Source organism: Homo sapiens, chromosome 4 (genome assembly GCF_000001405.40).
Source record: "Homo sapiens chromosome 4, GRCh38.p14 Primary Assembly".
NCBI classification, from domain to species: Eukaryota; Metazoa; Chordata; class Mammalia; order Primates; family Hominidae; genus Homo; species Homo sapiens.
The window spans coordinates 72120605-72146674 of NC_000004.12; the positions used below are offsets into that span (position 1 = coordinate 72120605).

General features: G+C 38.2%; 1 protein-coding gene across 5 annotated transcripts in view; it reads left to right on the forward strand.

The window, feature by feature from the left end:
* Positions 1-26070, forward strand: part of NPFFR2 (neuropeptide FF receptor 2) — a 116306-nt gene that overhangs the window by 88605 nt on the left and 1631 nt on the right. For 3 of the 5 annotated variants that reach the window (NM_004885.3, NM_001144756.2, NM_053036.3), the window contains 2 exons: positions 7981-8315; positions 17436-17535. In NM_004885.3, the coding sequence (NP_004876.3) occupies positions 7988-8315; positions 17436-17535 (428 nt within the window). In that variant the 5' untranslated portion in view covers positions 7981-7987. Of the gene's footprint in view, positions 1-7980; positions 8316-17435; positions 17536-25908; positions 26016-26070 lie in introns of those variants that run through there. The other 2 variants (XM_011531554.3, XM_047449545.1) reach the window with 2 other exon arrangements.

Here is a 26070-nt window from a genome sequence, read left to right on the forward strand (position 1 = left end):
CAGGCAAATAGGGTCTGGAGTGAACCTCCAGCAAACTCTAGTAGACCTGCAGCAGAGGGGCCTGACTGTTAGAAGGAAAACTAACAAACAGAAAGGAATAGCATCAACATCAACAAAAAGGAAGTCCACACCAAAACCCCATCCATAGGTCACCAACATCAAAGACCAAAGGTAGATAAATACATGAAAATGAGGAGAAACCAGCACAAAAATTCCAAAAACCAGAATGCCTTTTCTCCTCCAAAGGACCACAACTCCTTGCCAGCAAAGGAACAAAACTGGATGGAGAATGAGTTTGACAAATTGACAGAAGTGGGCTTCAGAAGGTGGGTAATAACAAACTCTTCCAAGCTAAAGGAGCATGTTCTAACCCAATGCAAGGAAGCTAAGAACCTTGAAAAAAGGTTAGAGGAATTGCTAACTAGAATAACCAGTTTAGAGAAGAACATAAATGACCTGACGGAGCTGAAAAACACAGCACGAGAACTTCATGAAACATAAACAACTATCAATAGCCAAATCGATCAAGCGGAAGAAAGGATATCAGAGATTGATGATCAACTTAATGAAATAAAGCGTGAAGACAAGACTAGAGAAAAAAGAATGAAAAGGAACAAACAAAGCCTCCAAGAAATATGGTACAATGTGAAAAGACCAAACCTTTGTTTGACTGGTGTACCTGAAAGTGACAGGGAGAATAGAACCAAGTGGGAAAACACTTTTCAGGATATTATCCAGGAGAACTTCCCCAACCTAGCAAGAAAGGCTGACATTCAAATTCAGGAAATACAGAGAACACCACAAAGATACTCCCTGAGAAGAGAAACACCAAGAAACATAATCATCAGATTCACTGAGGTTGAAATGAAGGAAAAAATCTTAAGGGCAACCAGAGAGAAAGGTTGCATTACCCACAAAGGGAAGCCAGTCAGATTAACAGCCAATCTCTCTGCAGAAACCCTACAAGCAAGAAGAGAGTAGGGGCCAATATTCAACATTCTTAAAGAAAAGAATTTTCAACCCAGAATTTCATATCTAGCCAAACTAAGCTTCATAAGTGAAGGAGAAATAAAATCCTTTACAGAGAAGCAAATGCTGAGAGATTTTGTCACCACCAGGCCTGCCTTACAAGAGCTCCTGAAGGAAGCACTAAACATGGAAAGGAAAAACCGGTACCAGCCACTGCAAAAACATACCAAATTGTAAAGACCATCAACGCTATGAAGAAACTGTATCAACTAACAGGCAAAATTACCAGCTAGCATCATAATGAGAGGATAAAATTCACACATATCAATATTAACCTTAAATGTAAATGGGCTAAATGCCCCAAGTAAAAGACACACACTGGCAAATCGGATAAAGAGTCAAAATCCACTGGTGTGCTGTATTCAGGAGACCCATCTCACTTGCAAAGAAACAAATAGGCTCAAAATAAAGGGATGGAGGAATATTTACCAGGCAAATGAAAAGCAAAAAAAAAAGCAGGGGTTGCAATCCTAGTGTCTGATAAAACAGACTTTAAACTGACAAAGATCAAAAAAGATAAGGAAAAGCATTACATAATGGTAAAGGGATCAATGCAACCAGAAGAGCTAACTAACTTAAATTTATATGCACCCATACAGGAGCACCCAGATTCATAAAACAAGTTCTTAGACACCTACAAAGAGACTTAGACTCCCACGCAATAGTAGTGGGAGACTTTAACACCCCACTGTCAATATTAGACAGACTGATGAGACAGAAGTTAACAAAAATATTCAGGACTTGAACTCAGCTCTGGACCAAGCAGACCTAACAGACATCTACAGAACTCTCCAGCCCAAATAAAGAGACTATACGTTCTTCTCAGCACCACGTCACACTTATTCTAAAATTGACCACATAATTGGAAGTAAAATACTCCTCAGCAAATGCAAAAGAACAGAAATCATAACAAACAGTCTCTCAGACCACAGTGCAGTCAAATTAGAACTCAGGATTAAGAAACTCACTCAAAACTGCACAACTACATAGAAACCGAACATTCTGCTCCCAAATGACTACTGGTTAAAAATTGAAATTAAGGCAGAAATAAGTAAGTTCTTTGAAACCAATGAGAACAAAGACACCATGTACCAGAATCTCTAGGACACAATTAATAGATCTTCCTGCTTTCTCCTGTGTGCATTTAGTGCCCATAAGAGAAAGCAGGAAAGATCTAAAATTGACACCCTAACATCACAATTAAAAGAACTAGAGAAGCAAGAGCAAACAAATTCAAAAGCTAGCAGAAGACAAGAAATAACTAAGATCAGAGCAGAGCTGAAGGAGATAGAGACATGAAAAACGCTTGAAAATATCAATGAATCCAGGAGCTGGTTTTTTTGAAAAGATTAACAAAATATGTAGACCACTAGGCACATTAATAAAGAAGAAAAGAGAGAAGAATCAAATAGACACAATAAAAAATTATAAAGGGGATATCATCACTGATTATCATCACTGATCCCACAGAAATATAAACTACCATCAGAATACTATAAACACCTCTGTGCAAATAAACTAGAAAATCTAGAAGAAATGGATACATTCCTGGACACATACACCCTCCCAAGACTAAACCAGGAAGAAGTTGAATCCCTGAACAGACCAATAACAAGTTCTGAAACTGAGGCAGTAATTAATAGCCTAACAACCAAAAAAAGCCCAGAACCAGATGGATTCACAGCCGAATTCTACCAGAGGTACAAAGAGGAGCTGGTACCGTTACTTCTGAAACTCTTCCAAACAATAGAAAAAGAGGGACTCCTCCCTAACTCATGGAATGAGGCCAGCATCATCAGGATACCAAAACCTGGCAGAGACACAACAAAAAAGAAAATTTCAGGCCAATATCTCTGATGAACATTGATGCAAAAATCCTCGATAAAATACTGGCAAACCAAATGAGGCAGCACATCAAAAAGTTTACCACCATGATCAAGTTGACTTCATCCTTGGGATGCAAGGCTGGTTCAAAATATGTAAATCAATCAACGTAATCCATCACATAAACAGAACCAATCACAAAAACCACATGATTATCTCAATAGATGCAGAAAAGGCCTTTGACAAAATTCAACAGCCCTTCATGCTAAAAACTCTCAATAAACTAGATATTGATGGAATGTATCTTAAAATAATAAGAGCTATTTATGACAAATCCACAGCAAATATCATACTGAATAGGCAAAAACTGGAAGCATTGCCTTTGAAAACTGGCACAAGTCAGGGATGACCTCTCTCACCACTCCTATTCAACATAGTGTTGGAAGTTCTGGCCAAGGCAATCAGGCAACAGAAAGCAATAAGGTGTATTCAATTAGGAAAGGAGGAAGTCAAATTGTTCCTGTTTGCAGATGATATGATTGTATATTTAGAAAACCCCATCGTCTCAGCCCAAAATCTCCTTAAGCTGATAAGCAACTTCAGCAAAGTCTCAGGATACCAAATCAATGTGCAAAAATCACAAACATTCCTATATACCAGTAATAGAAAAATAGAGCCAAATCATGAGTGAACTCCCATTCACAATTGCTACAAAAAGAATAAAATACCTAGGAATACAACTTACAAGGTATGTGAAGGACCTCTTCAAGGAGAACTACAAACCACTGCTCAAGGAACTAAGAGAGGACACAAGCAATGCCCATGGATAGGAAGAATCAATATCATGAAAAATGGCCTTCCTGACAAAAGTATTTTATAGAGTCAATGCTATCCCCATCAAGCTACGACTGACTTTCTTCACAGAATTAGAAAAACTACTGTAAATTTCATATGGAACCAAAAAAGAGCCCATATAGCCAAGACAATTCTAAGCAAAAAGAACAAAGCTGGAGGCATCAGGCTACCTGACTTCAAACTGTACTACAAGGCTACTGTAACTGTACAGTTACAGTACGGTTTGGTACCAGTAAACAGCATGGTACCAGTACCAAAACAGATATATAGACCGTGGAACAGAATAGAGGCCTCAGAAATAATGCCACATATCTACAACCATCTGATCTTTGACAAACCTGACAAAAACAAGAAATGGGGAAAGGATTCCCTACTTAATAAATGGTGCTGGGAAAACTGGCTAGCCATATGTAGAAGGCTGAAACTGGACCCCTTCCTTACACCTTACACAAAAATTAACCAAGACGGATTAAAGACTAAATGTAAGACCTAAAACCATAAAAACCCTAGAAGAAAACCTAGGCAATACCATTCAGGACATAGGCATGGGCAAGGACTTCATGACTAAAACACCAAAAACAATGGCAATAAAAGCCAAAATTGACAAATGAGATCCAATGAAACTAAAGAGCTTCTGTGCAGCAAAAGAAACTATCATCAGAGTGAACAGGCAACCTACAAAATGGGAGAAAATTTTTGCAATCTATCCATCTATCCATCTGACAAAGGGCTAATATCCAGAATCTACAAGGAATTTAAACAAATTTACCAGAAAAAACAACCCCATCAAAAAGTGGGTGAAGGATACGAACAGACACTTCTCAAAAGAGGACATTTATGAGGCTAACAAACATATGGAAAAAAAGCTCATCATCACTGGTCATTAGAGAAATGCAAATCAAAACTACAATGAGATACCATCTCACGCCAGTTAGAATTGCAATCATTAAAAAGTCAGGAAACAACAGATGCTGGAGAACATGTGGAGAAAAGGGAATGCTTTTACACTGTTGTGGAAGTTTAAATTAGTTCAACCATTGTGGAAAAGAAAACCTCCAACCTCTCAACTATGTATATAGAAAGTCCAAGGAAAAGATCTCAGGTAATACTACAAAAATTGGGAAGTATAGGTGGTCTATTGATTTCCTATTAGTGCGGTACCAAGTTGTCACACTTAGTGTCTAAAATAGCACACATTTGTTATCTTGTAGTTCTGAAGGCCAGAAGTCTGGAATGGTTTCCACTAGGCTAAAATCAAGATATTGGCAAGGCTGCGTTTTTTTTCTTAAGGCTCTACAGAAGAATCTGACTTCTTGCTTTTCTTTTCCAGCTACTACACGTTGTCTGCATTCCTTGGCTCATGGTCCTTTTAATCTTTAAAGCCAGCAAAGGCCCATCAAGTTGGTCTCACCTGGAAGAGCTCTAATACTGATGCTTCTTTGTCTCTTCCACTTTTAAGGACTCTCACGATTACATTAAGCCCACCTATATAACCAGGATATCCTATTTTAATATAAGCTAACTAGCAACCTTAATTCCCCTCTGTCATGTAACCTAACCTATTCAGAAGTTCTGGAGATTTGGACAGAGACACTTGGGAAGCCATTATGCTGCTGACCATAGGTGGTAGGAAGTTTAAATTTTATAGCTAAGGACAATAAGCATTCATTCATTTCTGAGGTAGATTAATATTGAAATATTTTACATTTATGGAATTTTTCTAATTTAGAAATTTTCTAATATTTCCTCAGGATAAGATTATGCATTTTTGACAAAAATATTGCTAAACTGATGTTGAATTCTCATGCATTACATCAAGGAGCATATGATATACTTGCATCTCATTATCCAAAACGTTATCTTGGATCATTTAACTACGGTAGAATCTGCCCAGTTTTTTCACTGAAAAGTTACAATTTTAACTTTGAAATTAATAAAGTATCTTGTGGGTAGATAATTTCAGACTATGTAACTATCCTGTTTCAAATTTTTGTCCACTGCTTTAAGCAGTCATTTATAATTCTTTGCTGGAACACACCAACAGTGTGGGGAGGTCAATTTTATAAGCCCACTGTCAAATTCATTTTCATTTATGGGCAGATATAACCTTCTGTTCAATTAATTAACAAGGTGTGCAGAAAAGAGATAACAAGCAGGCCTGAGGCTGCTACCCTTAGAAAAGCCTGCTTGCTAAGTTGGCTCTTGGTTGGAGTCTGGGAACTTAAATAATAAACACTTCCTATACTGATACACAGGTTTACTTAAATGATGAGTGGCTCACTATGCCTAGACTGTTTGTACAAACAACATGGTTTATGCTGAATATCTACTTTCTATCTGGGAGTCTGGAATTTTGATATATGCTAGGAAGAAGATCCCCACTTGATCATCCTCCAAGAAAAACCCTGGGTGTTGAGTCTCTAGTGAGCTTCTCTGGTTGACAATACTTTACATGTGTTTTCACAATTTGTTACTGGAGGAATTAGGCATGTTCTATGTGAGTCCACTGAGATTAAGTGCATGGGGCCTATGCCTAATTTCCTGCAGTCTTCACCCCATGTACATTTTCCATTCCTGATTTTGTTTTGCATCCTTCACTTTAATAAATATTAGTGTGAATGCATTATATGCTGGGTCCTGCAAGTCTTTCTAGTGAATCACCATACCTAGGAGTAGTTGTGGGGAAGCTGTCTACATTAAGACATATAGGCCGGGTGCGGTGGCTCACGCCTGTAATCCCAGCACTTTGGGAGGCTGAGGCAGGCAGATCACGAGGTCAGGAGATCCAGACCATCCTGGTTAACACAGTGAAACCCCGTCTCTACTAAAAATACAAAAAAAATTCGCTGGGCGTGGTGGCGGGTGCCTGTAGTCCCAGCTACTCGGGAGGGTGAGGCGGGAGAATGGCGTGAACCCGGGAGGTGGAGCTTGCAGTGAGCCGAGATCGCGCCACTGCACTCCAGCCTGGGTGACAGAGCTAGACTCCATCTCAAAAAAAAAAAAAAAAAAAAAAAAAAAAGTCATACAGATTCTAAATAATTTCTTTTCTTTTTTTTTTTTTTTTTTTTTGAGACGGAGTCTCGCTCTGTCGCCCAGGCTGGAGTGCAGTGGCGCGATCTCGGCTCACTGCAAGCTCCGCCTCCCGGGTTCACGCCATTCTCCTGCCTCAGCCTCCCGAGTAGCTGGGACCACAGGCGCCCGCCACCACGCCCGGCTAATTTTTTGTATTTTTAGTAGAGACGGGGTTTCACCGTGTTAGCCAGGATGGTCTCGATCTCCTGACCTCGTGATCCGCCCGCCTCGGCCTCCCAAAGTGCTGGGATTACAGGCGTGAGCCACCGCGCCCGGCCCAATAATTTCTTGATACATTGTGTAAGAACAGAATTATGCTAAGTGAAACCAAGACAAGTAACCTAGCCCTATATTAAGAGACTCACAATATGGTGGCTGTGTCTGCATACAGAAATATAAAAAAATAATATTCAGGCCACGCACGGTGGCTCATGCCTGTAATCCTAGCATTTTGGGAGGCTAAGGTGGGTGGATCACTCGAACTCAGGAGTTCAAGACCAGACTGGGCAACGTGGCAAAACTCCATCTCTACTAGAAATACAAAAATTAGCTGGTCATGATGGCGTGCACCTGTGGTCTCAGCTACTTGGGGGGTGAGGCAGGAGGATCACTTGAACCTGAGAGATCAAGGCTATAGTGAGCTGAGATGGTGCCACTGCACTCCCATCCAGGTGACAGAGTGAAACCCCTGCAAAACAAATTAATAATATTAAATTAATTGAGTCAGAGCAGAATATGGCAAATACAAGAAGTTATTTCTTTAGGAGTTTCAAAAATGTAGACCTCGTATCTTCTTCAGATTATCAGGAAAGCTAGAGGCATGTGAGTTAGCTTTAAATTAATAAGTGAGTCTTGACAGAATATGATACCTGGAGGTAGAGGGAAGGAGAGTTTTGGAAGGCAAGGGAAATGGATAGAGTGCATGCCAAAAGAAGTGAAATATAGAGTGTATTAGAAATAAAATATAATAATAACCATTACTTATGGCACAAATTGGAATTTTCAAATGCTCTTGGTTAAAATCCTAATAATTTCAGTGCCTTATTTATAATTCAGTTTTATGTAAAACTTATAGATTATTATAGAAAGACCACAAAAATTCCATGGCATTTTACAAGTGTTCCTCTTAAACTCAGGCACAGAATTTATGCTTTACTGGTTCCTAATTATGTTTTTCTTTTCTGTCTCTTCTTTATTAAGGTTCATCATGAATGAGAAATGGGACACAAACTCTTCAGAAAACTGGCATCCCATCTGGAATGTCAATGACACAAAGCATCATCTGTACTCAGATATTAATATTACCTATGTGAACTACTATCTTCACCAGCCTCAAGTGGCAGCAATCTTCATTATTTCCTACTTTCTGATCTTCTTTTTGTGCATGATGGGAAATACTGTGGTTTGCTTTATTGTAATGAGGAACAAACATATGCACACAGTCACTAATCTCTTCATCTTAAACCTGGCCATAAGTGATTTACTAGTTGGCATATTCTGCATGCCTATAACACTGCTGGACAATATTATAGCAGGTATGTTGGCTTTTGTGCAGTTTGAAGATAATATGAAATATTTGTCCCATATTTCAGCAGCCATTGGCAGGGCTGTTCATTCATTCATTTATTTACATATATTTATGGAATTCCAGGAACTGATCCAGGCACCTGCCCTCATTGGATCTGCATTCTGAAGGACTAGATGGACAATAAATAATTATATTAGAGAATGAGAAGGATTCTGAAGGAAAGTAAAAGTGATATAATAGAAACAGAAAGTGGAGGCTGCTATTTTTATAGAGTATTCACTGGAGGTCATGAGAAAATAAGATTTATTATGTGTAGGGGTGGGTTGCCCCTACACACCTGTGGGTGTTTCTCGTAAGGTGGGACGAGAGATTTGGAAAAGAAAAAGACACAGAGACAAAGTATAGAGAAAGAAATAAGGGGACCCGGGGAACCAGCGTTCAGCATATGGAGGATCCCGCCAGCCTCTGAGTTCCCTTAGTATTTATTGATCATCTGTGGGTGTTTCTCAAAGAGGGGGATGTGTCAGGGTCACAAGACAATTGTGGGGAGAGGGTCAGCAGACAAACACGTGAACAAAGGTCTTGGCATCATAGACAATGTAAAGGATTAAGTGCTGTGCTTTTAGATATGCATACACATAAACATCTCAGTGCTTTACAAAGCAGTATTGCTGCCCGCAGGTCCCACCTCCAGCCCTAAGGCGGTTTTTCCCTATCTCAGTAGATGGAGCATACAATCGGGTTTTATACCGAGACATTCCATTGCCCAGGGACAGGCAGGAGACAGATGCCTTCCTCTTGTCTCAACTGCAAGAGGCATTCCTTCCTCTTTTACTAATCCTCCTCAGCACAGACCCTTTACGGGTGTCGGGCTGGGGGACGGTCAGGTCTTTCCCTTCCCACGAGGCCATATTTCAGACTATCACATGGGGAGAAACCTTGGACAATACCTGGCTTTCCTAGGCAGAGGTCCCTGCGGCCTTCCGCAGTTTTTGTGTCCCTGGGTACTTGAGATTAGGGAGTGGTGATGACTCTTAAGGAGCATGCTGCCCTCAAGCATCTGTTTAACAAAGCACATCCTGCACCGCCCTTAATCCATTCAACTCTGAGTTGACACAGCACATGTTTCAGAGAGCACGGGGTTGGGGGTAAGGTCATAGATTAACAGAATCTCAAGGCAGAAGAATTTTTCTTAGTACCTAACAAAATGGAGTCTCCTATGTCTACTTCTTTCTACACAGACACAGTAACAATCTGATCTCTCTTGCTTTTCCCCACAATTATGTCTTACCTGAAACCTTTGTATTTTCTTAATAAAGTTCAGGGCACATGTAAGATGATAGAAATATCACTATGAACTGTAAGGTCCAAAGAACTGACACATCTGATATGATTATGTCTTCAGTCTGACATAAGTAGAAATTTAGGCCCTCATGTGGTTAGCTAGAGAGATTTCCAACAGTTTTTGAGAGAAGATGCAACAATATTAATGATTTTTCAAAAAGTGGTAGTTTATGTGTGCAACATAAGTTTACATTGTAAAGCTTAGGGTAGCACCCTAAAGTACTTCTGGGCCCACAGAAGTACTTTACCTTACTGCATAGATCTGAGTTTTTGTGATGTTTATCATTAAAAAAAAATTTTATTGAGGTTGTGATGAAAGGACCCTTCCCTTGACCCCTGCTTGGGACTGGTGAAGGGGCGGCTCCCTTACTCCACCTGCAACTCTCAAGCCCCTTGTGGGAGGGGGAGCATGCAGGTGAGAGGGTGCAGGAGCTAGGGCAAGTGCTTTTGGGTGCCAGCAGTAACTAATCCTGTACCAGCCCCAGGGCTGTGTCTAGAGGTTGCCTGTGACCCCTGGAGCCCCAGAAAGCAGACAGCTAAGTGTTAACCAGCTCAGTGGAGGGTCAGGGTGACAGCATTTTGCACCTGTCCTCTTGGTACCTGAGTTCCTGTCTGGCATTCAGGAAGAATCAGGTCGCATGAACGAATTGAAGTGTGGTGAATGTGGAGGATTTTATTGAGCGGTGGAAGTGGCTCTCAGCAGGATAGAGAGCTGGAACGGGGATGGAGTGGGAAGATGATTGATGGTCCCTGGTTGAACTCCTCTCCAACCATAGTCTCCAATGCCCAGCTGTTTTTTTTCTCGATGTTCAGATGCTTCTTGTCTTCTCTCCTTCTCTGCCGCACCACTCTGCTGCTGTGCCATTGGAACCTGGGGTTTTTATAGGTATAGGATGCGGGGCGTGGCAGGGCAGGATGGTTTTGAAAAAGGCAAATTTCAGGTGGGAAAACAGGATTGCATGTTCTCACTTAGAGCCCAAGGTCCAAGCTTGAAGGTGGAGTCCTTGCCAGGGACTGCGCCCTTTTCTAACTAGTATTTCCTTGCCTCCTGTCCATATCAGTTACATTATCAAGATACTGTGCTAAACAAAAAGAGGGTGTACACCGCATATTCTCACTCATAGGTGGGAATTGAACAATGAGATCACATGGACACAGGAAGGGGAATATCACACTCTGGGGACTGTTGTGGGGTGGGGGGAGGGGGGAGGGATAGCACTAGGAGATATACCTAATGCTAGATGACGAGTTAGTGGGTGCAGCGCACCAGCATGGCACATGTATACATATGTAACTAACCTGCACAATGTGCACATGTACCCTAAAACTTAAAGTGTAATAAAAAAAAATTGCTAGGAGTTATAACATTTAACATTATAACATTATATAACATTATAACATGTAATTCAGACTACTGGAAATAGATTTACATGGGTGATTTGTAAGAACAGTAAAATGTGATTTTACTAAAAGATTATAAAAAAGCATGGAAATGTAAATTTTTGCCTAGGGTTGAAGGATTGTTTTGAATTAGATAAGATAAAGCTGAAGGTTTAAACAAATGATGGAAGGATTCTAAAAACTAATCTTGCAAAAACTGTATGTGTGAACATATTTACTAAATTCAAAGGGGTATTATAGGATTTTTCTGTAAATTGAGCATTGAAATAAAAGTACAATAAATGTTAAAAAAAAAAGAGGGTGTACAAATTGATAATTATTGTTATCACTCCCAGACAAGTTTTTTTTTAATTTAACTTCTATTTTTAATTCAGGGGTACATGTACAAGTTTATTACACAGGTAAACTTGTGTCATGGGGGTTTGTTGTACAGATTATTTTGTCACCCAGGTATTAAGCCTAGTACCCATTGGTTTTTTTTTTTTCCTGAGTCTCTTCGTCCTTACTCCCTCTACCCTCTGATAGGCCCCAGTACGTGTCGTTCCCCTCTATCTCATCATTAGCTCCCACATATAAATAGTAACATGTAGTATTGGGTTTCCTGTTCCTGCATTAGTTTGCTGCAGATAATGGCCTCCAGCTCCATCCATGTTCCGTCAAAGGACATGAGCTCATTCTTTCTTATGGCTACATAGTATTCCATGGTGTATATCTACCACATTTTCTTTATTCATCTACCATTGATGGGTATTTAGATTGATTCCATGTCTTTGCTATCGTGAATAGTGCTGCAGTGAACATACACATACATGTGTCTTTATAATAGAACAATTTATATTCCTCTGGGTATATACCTAGTATTGGGATTGCTGGGTTGAATGGTAGTTCTGTCTTTAGGTCTTTGAGGCATTGCCACATTGTCCTCCAGAATGGTTGAACTCATTTACATTTGCACCAACAGTGTGAAAGTGTTTATTTTTCTCCACAATTTTGCCAACATCTGTTACTTTTTGACTTTTTAATAGTAGCCACTCTGACTGGTGTGGGATGATATCCCATTGTGGTTTTTATTTACATTTCTCTAATATTCAGTGATGTTGAGCTTTTTTTCATATGTTTGTTGGCCACATGTATGTCTTCTTTTGAAAAATATCTGTTCATGTCCTTTGCCCACTTTTTAATGGGGTTGTTTATTTTTTGTAAATTTGTTTAAGTTCCTTTTAGATGCTGGATATTAGACCTTAGTCAAATGCAAAGTTTGCAAAAATTTTCTCTCAGTATGTAGGTTGTCTCTTTACTCTGTTGATATTTTCTTTTGTCATGTGGAAGCTCTTTAGTTTAATTATTAATAGATTCCATTTGTAAATTTTTGCCTTTGTTGTGATTGCTTTTGGTGTCTTCCTAGTGAAATTTTTGCCTGTTCCTATGTCCAGAATGGTATTGCCTAGTTGTCTTCCAGAGTTTTCATAGTTTTGGGTTTTACCTTTAAGTCCTTAATCCATCTTGAGTTAAATTTTGTACATGGTATAAGGAAGGGGTGTGGTTTCAATCTTCTGCACATGGCTAGCCAGTTATCCCAGCATGATTTATTAAATAGGGAGTCCTTTCCCCATTACTTGCCCATTGTTTTTGTTAGCTTTGTTGAAGGTTAGATATTTGTAGGTGCATGGATTTGTTTCTGGGTTCTCTATTCTGTTCCATTGGTCTATGTGTCTATTTTTGTACTAGTACCATGCTATTTTCATTACCATAGCCTTGTGGTATAGTTTGAAGTTGGGTAGCATAATGCCTCCAGCTTTGTTCTTTTTACTTAGGATTGCTTTAGCTATTCAGGCTCTTTTTTGCTTCCATATGAATTTTAAAATAATTTTTCTAGTTCTGTAAAGAATGTCATTGGTGATTTAATAGGGATAGCATGGAATCTATAAATTGCTTTGGGCAGTATGGCCATTTTCATGATATTGATTCTTCCTATCCGTGGGCATGGAGTGTTTTTCTATTTGTTTGTGTCATCATGGATTTCTTTGAACAGTGTTTTGTAGTTCTCCTTGTAGAAATCTTTCACCTCCGTAGTTAGCTGTATTCCTAGATATTTTATTCTGTTTGTGGAAATTTTGAATGAGATTGAGTTCCTGATTTGGCTCTCGGCTTGACTGTTGTGGATGTATAGGAATGCCAGTGATTTTTGTACATTGATTTTTTTTTACCCTGAGACTTTTAGGAAAGTTATTTTGCCAATAAAAAGTGCTCTCAATATTTTGTCCCATACATATTTTAAATTACATTAATTAGTTTAAAGTTCTTGCATACAAATTACCCATCCTTGGCCAGGCAGAGTGGCTCACACCTGTAATCCCAGCATTTTGGGAGGCCAAGGCAGACAGATCACTTGAGGCCAGGAATTCAAGACCAGCCTGGCCAACATGGTGAAACCCCATCTCTATGAAAAATACAAAAATTAGCCTGGTATGGTGGCGTGCACCTGTAATTCCAGCCACTCAGGAAGCTGAAGCATGATAATCACTTGAACCCTGGAGGTGAGGTTGCAGTGAGCCGAGATCGTGCCACTGCACTCCAGCCTGGGTGACAGAGAGAGAGACTGTCTCCAAAAATAAAAAATAAAAATTACCCATCTTTAGCTCTTTGTTTGCCTTCTCAGGAGGCAGCCACCTTCAGCAATTTTTGCTTTTTTTTTGTAATTACTACTATATTTCTAAATAACATGTTTTCAATATTTTTCCTTCAAACTCTCATAGATGTAAATTGAGTTGTCATCAACTTTCACCACATCAGCACAAACATACATTCATACACTTCACCTTCTCACATTCTCCTGGTATAATTATATCACAATTTTTGTTTGAATCAACATACAGAATATACATTCTTATTTTACATATATCTTATCCGTGCTGAGCCTTGGAAAGTGCTGTATCAATTTCTCTCTTATAAAATGTTTTTCATTTTCCTAGATTTATTAAGGGTATATTTTGATTTGCTTAGTTTGGGTGTGTACTCATTAGTAATGTATCCTCAAATTCTCTTCCAGAGGTGTTACTCTCTTGTCAATACCTTTAAACATATCAGGTATCTATAAATATACGTGCAGGTACGTTTCCCGGTGTTTTCTGTTCTCTTTATAGGAACACGTTACTCCCAGGGCAGAGCAGCTCCTGCTCTGGGATACCCCTTCACTGATACCCTAACAACTCTCTTCACCTCTCTTTGTGTACAACCCCATTTTCTGGATGCCATGTCCCCTTCTTTTTTTGGTTTATTCCTTTCTGAGAAATGGTTTATTGAGATGAAACGTTTGAGCTCTTATTTGTCTGCAAGTATCTTTATTCTGCCCTCACACTTAATTAGTTAGCTGTATGAAGAAGTCTAGGTTGGAAATTTCTTCTGTCAGAATTTCAAAGGAATTACTCTATTGCTACTGCTATAAAATATGGTATTACTGCTGAAAAAACATGATATTTAATTCTTTCTTCTTTTGCCCATGATTTGTATTTTGTTTTTCTTATGGAAATCTTTTAGAACTTCCCTTTATCCCTAATGTTCTCAATTCCATGAAACTATGCTTTGAAGTAAGCCTTTTTATTTTGTATTTATTGTGCTGGATATAAATTCGGGCTTTGCAATCTGAAAATGAGTGGCCTTTAATCTTAGGGAATTTTCTTGTGGAGTTCTTTTCTGTTTTTCTTTCTTCTACTCATATTAATCAGATATTAGAGATTCTGGATTGCTCTTTTAATTTTTTTCATCTTTTTACTTTAATTTTTTGCCCCTCATTCTTCTATTTTCAAGGATTGTCTCAACTTTCTCTTTTAAACTTTATGTTGAACTCCTCAATACTGTTACCGTTATCTTAAATATTTTGAGTTATTTTTATTTTCTGCATATTTCTGTAGTTCCCACCATGATACAACAGTATCATGATACAAGCAGTATCATGTACATGTTTCACGGACAAAGTGCATTATATCTCTGGTGTTATTAGTAATAGTTTTTTCTGTTTTCTATTTTTCATATGTCTGACTCAATTTGGTTTTCCTATAAGTATTTTTCTTCCTATGTGTGTTAGTCTTTTTCTTTTATGTTTGAGGTTTCCCTAGTGTTAACTGCTTATTTTTCATTGCATTTAAAAATTGTTTTAATTTGTTTTTTTTTTAGTTAATATGGGTACATATGTGTATATTTATGGGGTACATATGATGTTTTGATATAGGCATATAATGTGTAATAATCATATTAGGGTAATAATCATATTAGGGCATTTGGGATATCCATCACCTCAAGCATTTATCATTTCTTTATGTTAAGAACATTTCAATTCTACTCTTAGTTATTGCTAAATATACAATAAATTATTCTTGACTGTAGTCACTCTGTTGTGCTATCATATACTAGCTCTAAGGCTAGGTGCAGTGGCTCATGCCTGTAATTTCAACACTTGGGGAGGCCAAGATGAGAGGATTACTTGAGCCTAGGAGTTCAAAACCAGCCTAGGCAACATAATGAGACCCCATCTCTACTAAAAATTTTTTTTAAAATAACTGGTGTGGTGGACTGCACCTGTATTCCCAGCTACTCAGGAGCTTGAGGTAGGAGGATGGCTTGAGCCTGGGGACACAGTGGTGGTAGGAGCAGAGGGGTTAAGGCTACAGTGAACCATGATCACGCCACTGCACTCCACCCTGTCTCAAAACAAAGAAACAAACAAACCAAAACAAAACAAAACACCACCAGAAAAAAAAAGACTAGATCTAGTTAACTGCTTCTTAGCTTCTGTGTTTCAGAGTGAGGCATAGCGTGGCTGCCTGGAAGTTCTGCATGCCTGGAGGATAAGGTTAGGACTACTGTCCACTTCATTAGTCTGGACTATTCATTGGGAAATTCCCAACTGTAAAAATCTGCATATCAGTGTTATTGAACAGGTCACTTTTTCCAGAAGGAGATTTTCTAACATACTGCCGTAGGAATGTAGGGCTGGCTGTTACATTCCACATTGCCATGCAGTGCAGCGGTATACTTTCGCTTAATCCTTCTGCATCACAGTGGCACTCATTACCCCCGCACCTGGTGACTCGGGGTTTAGAGTACTTATGGTTCTGCCTCCTCAGAGAGTAAACCTCCATTCTTCTATCAACATGAGGAAAAAGCCAGTGGCATCTAATTGGATTTATATATAATTTCCACCAATCATGTTGTTTTCTCAATCTCACATTTAGTAGTATCTGGCACTTTAATTTCTAAGGATTTATGCTCTTTTATCCTACACCTATCATTTCAGTGGAATTGTGTGAGGGAGATAAGGTAAAATATATGCTTAATATTCCATTTTCAACCAACGGCTAGACACAGTTTTTTGCATTTTTGTTGACAAATAATACTATCATAAGCTAACACATTTTAGAACTGAAAAAGACATTCTCTTTTAGTTTCCACTCACTAGAGTCACTCAAGCATTTATTATAATATGATCTGGATAGGTGACTTTTAAAAGATATACTTGAATTATTTAGGTTATTTAAAAATACTTTATGTGTAAGAATATTTTGTTTCAGAAAATAAATTGCAGAAAAATTAAAAAAATAAATTTCAAAACTCTGAGAAATGCATAATATTCATCTTTTGAGAAATGAGAATATTTGCTAGGAGAAGAATATTGTTCCTTTTCTGTAATAGCAGATGGGTGTTTAGAATAGCAAACTACTACAATAATTTTATTATTTTCTTTTATAAACTTTACAGTAGCTAAGGTTTAGTAGGAAAGTAATACTTTTGTTCATGCAAAGTGCTCTTTATTCTGGATGTGTCTCTGGGGTTAATTGTCTCATTTCAGTCTATATTAATAAAAACATTTTATTCTGTATGTAACTCCTGATTCCTCATAATTTTGGGGTGCCTTTCCAAACTAGAAAACCGACGTTCTGACTGTTTATTCATTTAAAGGGCATTATTGCATCAGAGTCAATGGTTTAGACTCTGGAGTCTTACTTCCCAGGTTCAAATTCTTAAAATGCTCCTAACTAGCCGTGGCAAAGTATGTAATATTTGTTTATTTGTTACCTCGTCTATATTGTGAGGAAAATAACAAAGCCTTCAAAAGCCTGTTGTGAGGATTAGATATGTTAATAGACAGAGACCACTTATAGTGCCTGGAATGTGATAACTACTATGTAAGTTTTGACATTATTGTTAGTGTACTGAAAAGCAGAGCTCTGGAGATATTAGGGGAAATACTGAGAAACATTGATTTTTCTCTGCCTATCATGTAGAAAACAGTTACATTAGTCTCGTTTCCACAACTTTCTATTTTCATTTTCAGTGAGATTTTGAAAATATGATCTTTTGAAAGACTGTTTCATTTTCCTTTCAGGATGGCCATTTGGAAACACGATGTGCAAGATCAGTGGATTGGTCCAGGGAATATCTGTCGCAGCTTCAGTCTTTACGTTAGTTGCAATTGCTGTAGATAGGTAAGTCTGCACCAAACTCTGAATCCAGAAAAATTGGCATGTCTGCAACTAGTATACCAGAAAAATATATAACCTACTAAATTTGGACATATCTTTTCAAATTGTATTCACAATATCTACCTCTTTTTTTAAATTATTATACTTTAAGTTCTAGGGTACATGTGCACAACGTGCAGGTTTCTTCCATATGTATACATGTGCCATGTTGGTGTGCTGCACCCATCAACTCGTCATTTACATTAGGTATTTCTCCTAATGTTATCCCTGCCCCTGCCCCCCCACCCAATGCAGGCCCCAGTGTGTGATGTTCCCTGCCGTGTGTCCAAGTGTTCTCATTGTTCTATTCCCACCTATGAGTGAGAACATGTGGTGTTTGGTTTTCTGTCCTTGTGATAGTTAGCTGAGAATGATGGTTTCCAGCTGCATCCATGTCCCTGTAAAGGACATGAACTCATCCTTTTTATGGCTGCATAGTATTCCATGGTGTATATGTGCCACAATTTTCTTAATCCAGTATATCATTGAAGGATATTTTGGTTGGTTCCAAGTCTTTGCTATTGTGAATAGTGCCACAATAAACATACGTGTGCATGTGTCTTTATAGTAGCATGCTTTATAATCCTTTGGGTATATACCTAGTAATGGGATTGCTGGGTCAAATGGTATTTCTAATTCTAGGTCCTTGAGGAATCGTCACACTGTCTTCCCCAGTGACTGAACTAGTTTACACTCCTACCAACAGTGTAAAAGTGTTCCAATTTCTGCACACCCTCTCCAGCATCTGTTGTTTCCTGACTTTTTAATGATGACCTTTCTAACTGGTGTGAGATGGTATCTCATTGTGGTTGTGATTTGCATTTCTCTGATGACCAGTGATGATGAGCATTTTTTCATATATCTGTTGGCTGCACAAATGTCTTCTTTTGAGAGGTGTCTGTTCATATACTTTGCCCACTTTTTGATGGGGTTGTTTTTTTCTTGTAAATTTGTTTAAGTTCTTTGTAGATTCTGGATATTAGCCCTTTGTCAGAAGGGTAGATTGCAAAAATTTTCTCCCATTCTGTAGGTTGTCTGTTCACTCTGATGGTAGTTTCTTTTGCTGTGCAGAAATTCTTTAGCTTAATTAGATCCCATTTGTCTATTTTGGCTTTTGTTGCCATTGCTTTTGTTGTTTTAGTCATGAAGTCCTTGCCCATTCCTATGTCCTGAATGGTATTGCTTAGGTTTTCTTCTAGGTTTTTTATGGTTTCAGGTCTAACATTTAAGTCTTTAATCCATCTTGAATTAATTTTTGTGTGAGGTATAAGGAAAGGATCCAGTTTCAGCTTTCCACATATGGCTAGACAGTTTTCCCAGCACCGTTTATTAAATGGGGAATCCTTTCCCATTGCTTGTTTTCGTCAGGTTTGTCAAAAATCAGATGGATGTAGATGTGTGGTGTTATTTCTGAGGCCTCTGTTCTGTTCCATTGGTCTATCTCTCTGTTTTGATACCACTACCATGCTGTTTTGGTTACTGTAGCCTTGTAGTATAGTTTGAAGTTGGGTAGCATGATGCCTACAGCTTGGTTCTTTTGGCTTAGGATTATCTTGGCAATGCGGGCTCTTTTTTAGTTCCATATGAACTTTAAAGTAGATTTTTCCAATTCTGTGAAGAAAGTCAATGGTAGCTTGATGGAGATGGCATTGAATCTATAAATTACCTTGGGCAGTATGGTCATTTTCACGATATTGATTCTTTCTATCCATGAGCATGAATGTTCTTCCGTTTGTTTGTGTCCTCTTTTATTTCGTTGAGCAGTGGTTTGTAGTTCTCCTTGAAGAGGTCCTTCACATCCCTTGTAAGTTGGATTCCTAGGTATTTTATTCTCTTTGTAGCAATTGTGAATGGGAGTTCACTCATGATTTGGCTCTCTGTTTGTCTGTTATTGGTGTATAGGAATGCTTGTGATTTTTGCACATTGATTTTGTATCCTGAGACTTTGCTGAAGTTGCTTATCAGCTTAAGGAGATTTTGGGCTGAGATTATGGGGTTTTCTAAATATACAATGACGTCATCTGCAAAGAGGAACAATTTGACTTCCTCCTTTCCTAATTGAATACACTTTATTGCTTTCTGTTGCCTGATTGCCTTGGCCAGAACTTCCAACACTATGTTGAATAGGAGTGGTGAGAGAGGTCGACCCTGACTTGTGCCAGTTTTCAAAGGGAATGCTTTCAGTTTTTGCCCATTCAGTATAATGTTGGCTGTGGGTTTGTCAAAAAATAGCTCTTATTATTTTGAGATACATTCCATCAATACCTAGATTATTGAGAGTTTTTAGCATGAAGGGCTGTTGAATTTTGTCAAAGGCCTTTTCTGCATTTATTGAGATAATCATGTGGTGTTTGTCATTGGTTCTGTTCATGTGATGGCTTACATTTATTGATTTGCATATGTTGAACCAGCCTTGCATCACAGGGATGAAGCAGACTTGATCATGGTGGATAAGTTTTTTGATGTGCTGCTGGATTCTATTTGCCAGTATTTCATTGAGGATTTCCGGATCGATGTTCATCAGGGATATTGGTCTAAAATTCTCTTTTTTTTGGGGGGTGTCTCTACCAGGCTTTGGTATCAGGATGATGCTGGCCTCATAAAATGAGTTAAAGAGGATTCCCTCTTTTTCTATTGATTGGAATAGTTTCAGAAGGTATAGTACCAGCTCCTCTTTGTACCTCTGGTAGAATTCAGCTGTGAATTCGTCTCGTCCTGGACTTTTTTTGGTTGGTAAGCTATTAATTATTGCCTCAATTTCAGAGCCTGTTATTGGTCTGTTCAGAGATTCAACTTCTTGGTTTAGTCTTGGAAGGGTGTACGTGTCCAGGAATTTATCCATTTCTTTTAGATTTTCTAGTTTATTTGCATAGAGGTGTTTATAGTATTCTCTGATAGTAGTTTGTATTTCTGTGGGATCAGTGGTGATATCCCCTTTATCATTTTTATTGCGTCTATTTGATTCTTCTCTCTTTTCTCCTTTATTAGTGTTGCTAGTAGTCTATCAATTTTGTTGATCTTTAAAAAAAAACCAGCTCCTGGATTCATTAATTTTTTTAAGGGTTTTTTGTGTCTCTATCTCCTTCAGTTCTGCTCTGATCTTAGTTAGTTCTTGCCTTCTGTTAGCTTTTGAATTTGTTTGCTCTTGCTCCTCTAGTTCTTTTAATTGTGATGTTAGGGTGTGGATTTTAGATCTTTCCTGCTTTCTCTTGTAGGCATTTAGTGCTATAAATTTCCCTCTACACACTGCTTTAAATGTGTCCCAGAGATTCTGGTATGTTGTGTCTTTGTCCTCATTGATTTCAAAGAACATCTTTATTTCTGCCTTCATTTCATTATTTACCCAGTAGTCATTCAGGAGCAGGTTGTTCAGCTTCCATATAGTTGTGCTGTTTTGAGTGGGTTTCTTAATCCTGAGTTCTAATTTGATTGCACTGTGGTCTGAGTGACAGTTTGTTGTGATTTCTGTTCTTTTACATTTGCTGAGGAGTGCTTTACTTCCAACTATGTGGTCAGTTTTGGAGTAAGTGTGATGTGGTGCTGAGAAGAATGTATATGCTGTTGATTTGGGGTGGAGAGTTCGGTAGGCATCTATTAGGTCCACTTGTTGCGAGCTGAGTTCAAGTCCTGGATATCATTGTTAACATTCTGTCTCATTGATCTGTCTAATATTGACAGTGGGGTGTTAAAGTCTCCCATTATTATTGTGTGGGAGTCTAAGTCTATTTGTAGGTCTCTAAGGACTTGCTTTATGAATCTGGGTGCTCCTGTATTGGGTGCATATATATTTAGGATCGTTATTTCTTATTGTTGAATTGATCCCTTTACCATTATGCAATGGCCTTCTTTGTCTCTTTTGATCTTTGTCAGTTTAACGTCTGTTTTATCAGAGACTAGGGTTGCAACCCCTGCCTTTTTTTGCTTTCCATTTACTTGGTAGATCTTCCTCCATCCCTTTCTTTTGATTCTATATGTGTCTCTGCATGTGAGATGGGTCTCCTGAATACGGCACAGTGATGGGTCTTGACTCTATCCAATTTGCCAGTCTGTGTCTTTTAATTGGGGCATTTATCGCATTTACATTTAAGGTTAATAGCGTTATATTTGAATTTGATCCTGTCATTGGCGAGAGTGTCCCGATTTTCCAGGTACAGTCTGTCATGGCTTCCCTTGGCTAGGAAAGGGAAATTCCCCAACCCCTTTTGCTTCCCAGCTAAGGTGATGCCCCGTCCTGCTTTGGCTCACCCTCCGTGGGCTGCACCCACTGTCCAACCAGTCCCAGTGAGATGAACCAGGTACCTCAGGTGGAAATGCAGAAATAACCCATCTTCTGCATCTATCATGCTGGGAGCTGCAGACCACAGCTGTTCCTATCCGGCCATTTTGGAACGGAACCTGAGAATATCTACCTCTTTAAAAGCAACATACCTACTAAAGTTTCAGTAATAAGAAAATGAAACTATTGAATTTTCCATACTTTAAAAATAAATAATTGGAGATGGTAAAATTTCCCTATTTTTCACACTACAATATAGACGTTTCTAACAGCAGAAATGCAAATGAGCTAAAATCTGAAATTTTATCTAGATTTTAAGATTGAAAATCATTCATCCATTCATTCATTCACACATGTTGTTGAGCATTTATGATGTGCCAGATACTGGGCTGGGTTGGTAACATCTAAAACAAATTAGAAGTGCTGCCTCAGGAAGGCTACAATCTGGCGGAGCAGGCAAAGTCATTAACAAATATTTACAAATAATGCTTTCTAATAGGTGACCAGTGTTTGACAGCTATGCAAAAGAGATAATAATCAATTCTACCTATTAGGACAGGGAGTAGTGGATTCACAAAAGAAGTGAGACCTTCTGATTCCTGGAGAAGTCAGAAATTTACCCTTAGAAGAAACTGGGAAAAGGGCATCCCTTAAGACAAGTATATACTTATGGCATTGAAATAGGAGGCACTTGTTCAGAGAAATGTAGAGAGGTAGTTCAGCTGGAACAAGGCAGGTGAAGTGGTACATTTGTCCACAAAGAGAGAGATTTATTACGAGAAATTGACTCATAATTATGAAAACTGAGAAATCTCAGAATATGCTGCCTGTAAATTGGAGACCTCAGAAAGCCAGTGATATTATTCAGTCCAAGTCCCAAAGCCTGAGAACTAGGGATAGCCAATTGTGCAATTGGCCATTTGTGTAAATTGCATCCTGTGGGCAGGAGAATATGATATGAGATGTCCTAGCTCAAGCAATGAGTCAGGGAAAAAAGGGGGCAAATTCCTCCTTCCTCTACTTCTTGTTCTATTCAGGCCCTCAGATGACTGGATGATGCCTACCCACACTGGGAGGGCAATCCACTTTACCGAATCCACTGACTAAGATGCTAATCTTATCCAGAAACACTTTTATAGGCGCATCCAGAAATAAGATTCAATCTCAGCACCCCTTGGCCCAGTCAAGTCGATAGATTAAATTAGCCATCACACTTTTGTAGCAGAGACTGTCAGTGCTCTGCCAGATCTCTTAAACTTTCAGTGGGTTCTGTCTTACATCCAACTGCCAGTATCTTCATCTCTGTATCTCAAATCCAAATTGTGCAAAGTCTTAGTTCCTAAGCAGAACAGACAAGAAATGTCAGATAATTAATACCCCTAGAAGTAGCCCTCAACTAAAATCTCATGAGAGTTGATGTACTCACCATTCTCTCCCCTTGGGTTGAATAATTCTGCAACAAATGGTTTGATTCACATCCCTCGTTACCTACCTTCCCATTAATGAATGACTTCTCTATACTTTCAGTTATCTATTGATATATAATGAACCACCCCCAAATCAAACCACTTAGTGAGTTAAAATGACAGCAATATTTATTATGTCATGAATCTGTGATATGTACAGATTTAGAAAGTACAGCTTGTCTCTGTTCTACTTGATGTCAGGTGGAGCAGCTTCAAGGTTAGGGCTGAACCTTCTTTCACTCTCCTGTTGGTACCTAGTCCAGGGAGAACTTGAATATGTGGGGGCCTAAGAGAGCTTTGTCTCTATTGGTCTCTCCAAATGGGCTCTCCAGCAAGGCTACTTGAAGGTACCTGGACTTCTTATATGTCAGTTCAGGGCTCTGACGGTTTGTGTCCCAGAAGAGAGTACCAGCAAAAATCATGATGTGGTATCATTTTTGTTGCATTCTATTCATGAGACTGAGTCATCAATCCTTAGCCAAGGAAAAAGGAATAGAATTTGGAAGCAATGTCAAAGAACTTGGAAATGTTTTAAAACTGCCACATCTTTATTTCTTGCACTTGCACTCAAATGCTTTTTTTTTCAGGGCTAGCTTTTGCAGGAAGCCAAACTAAAAAAATTCCCAAGCTGATTTCTCCTGACTGAATCCTTTGCCTGAATTTTACAGTTACGTTCCAAAGCACCTACTGTACAACTTCAACTGCACATTCAACAAAAGGCACCTTAAATTAAACATGCCCAGAGCTGAACTCATTATTCCAAGCCCCACACCATACACAAACAAAATAAAAGGCAGCTGTTTTTTTCATGCTCCCCAAATCAGTGAAAGGCAGGACCACTCACTCAATTCAAACAAAAAACCTGAGCTTTATCCTTGAATCTTCTTTCTGTCAACTTTGCTGGCACTCTCCAAATTCTATTATTTCTGAGTGCTAACTAGTTCTGAACCAGGCCACTGCCCTTTGCCACTTGGAATACTGAGATTGTTTTCTAACTGGCCTTCGGGCTCAGGAAGCCAACCTCCAATTTATTTTCTTCTCATAGCAGCCCAAATAAGCTTCTTAAATTGTAAAAATGATCCTGCCTTTTACAATGTAAATCCTTCAATGAATCCCCATTGCTCTTTAAATGAAGTCCAAACTTTTTAGCAGAATTTTAGTAATTATTATACAGTTTTTAATATTTTTATATTTCCATTGACTTTCTCAGCAGGGACTATTCTCTATCTTATTCATCTTTGCCTTCCTGAATATATACACACAAACACATATATATGTATGTTTACAAATATATAAGTATATATACTCATATATGTACATTTATTAAACAAATATGTAAGTACATATATTGTTATAAATATAAATATATAAATACATATATTTGTTATAAATACAAATATATAAATACATATATGTACAGATAAGCATATGTACTTTTATATTTGTTCATTATTACTTTTATTGTTAATAGTGTCTGCTATACTCCATTTATTCAAATTTTGAGTTAAAATTTATCTCCTATATAAATATATGTACTTATATATTTGTTTAATAAGTAAATTGAACAATAATATCCAAAACCCTATTAGTAGGTATTCAAAAAGAGCAAAATACATACGTTTGTGTCTATGAAATTACCCATAATTTCACGGCAGGTGAATGGGAGAATTCTTGGATTAGAAGACTGGAAGAACGCTTGAAGTTGAAGAGAGAAGATCTTACACATGAAGGAGTTATAAAGAATGACAACAGAGCAGTCAAAGCCCAGGCTAACTAGTCATTCTATGAAGATAAGTTAGATAAGTTAATTTGGAGTTGCTGCTCAGCCACTTAAAGCTCTACATTTTCTTATCTACAGATCTGGAATGTAACAATTTTCATAACATTTCAGTTTTATGGAGTCATAAAAATCAAAGAAGATTAAATAGGTAATAGTTACTTTGAAAAAATATAAAATGTTACACAGTTGCATAATAGTGTGATTATCTTTTGATTAACATAATGAAATTCAATAATAATAACAAGATCCACAATATCAAAATCATAGTAAAATGAATCAGGCTTACTCTACATACTGATGCTGAATTTTTGTACTCACCAGAGGACATAGAATGTTAGGAAGGCTCATAATCAGAACTCATAATGAATACTCTCAGATTTTTACAGCTGTAAAGCAAATCAGCAAAACATTTAGTGGCTTCAAACAATATTGGTTTATTACATCTCATGATTTTGTGGGTTAATTGGGCACCTCTTTGTTCATCCTCCTGCTCCATGTGTTATAACTGGAATCACTCATGTTGCAGCATTAATCTGGGAGCTAAACTGGGGCTGGAACATCCAAAATGGCTAAGCTCTTATCTCCCGGAATCTTTCTCTACATGCCTTTCATCTAATTCAAGCTTCTTGGAAATTGAAGTCTGGATTTTAAGAGGAAGCATTCCAGAAGGACCTGCCCCACATGCAAGTGTATAAAAAGCTTCTGCTTGCATCATGTTTGCTAATATCCTATTGGTCAAAGCAAGTTACACAGATAATGCGTAGGGGACCACACAAGAGCCTGAGGGATAAAAGGTTGATTGATTGCTACAGATCAGCAGTCTACCACAGCCTAAGAGCTACCCATCTAAAGAGGACGATGTAGAGGTTGAGTTTGAGCTCTGAAGCCAAACTACTTGTGTTAAAATCCTGTGTAATTATTGGTAAGATTTTTACATTTCCAAGTCTGTTTTGCTATCTTTTAAGCAAGGAGGCTTA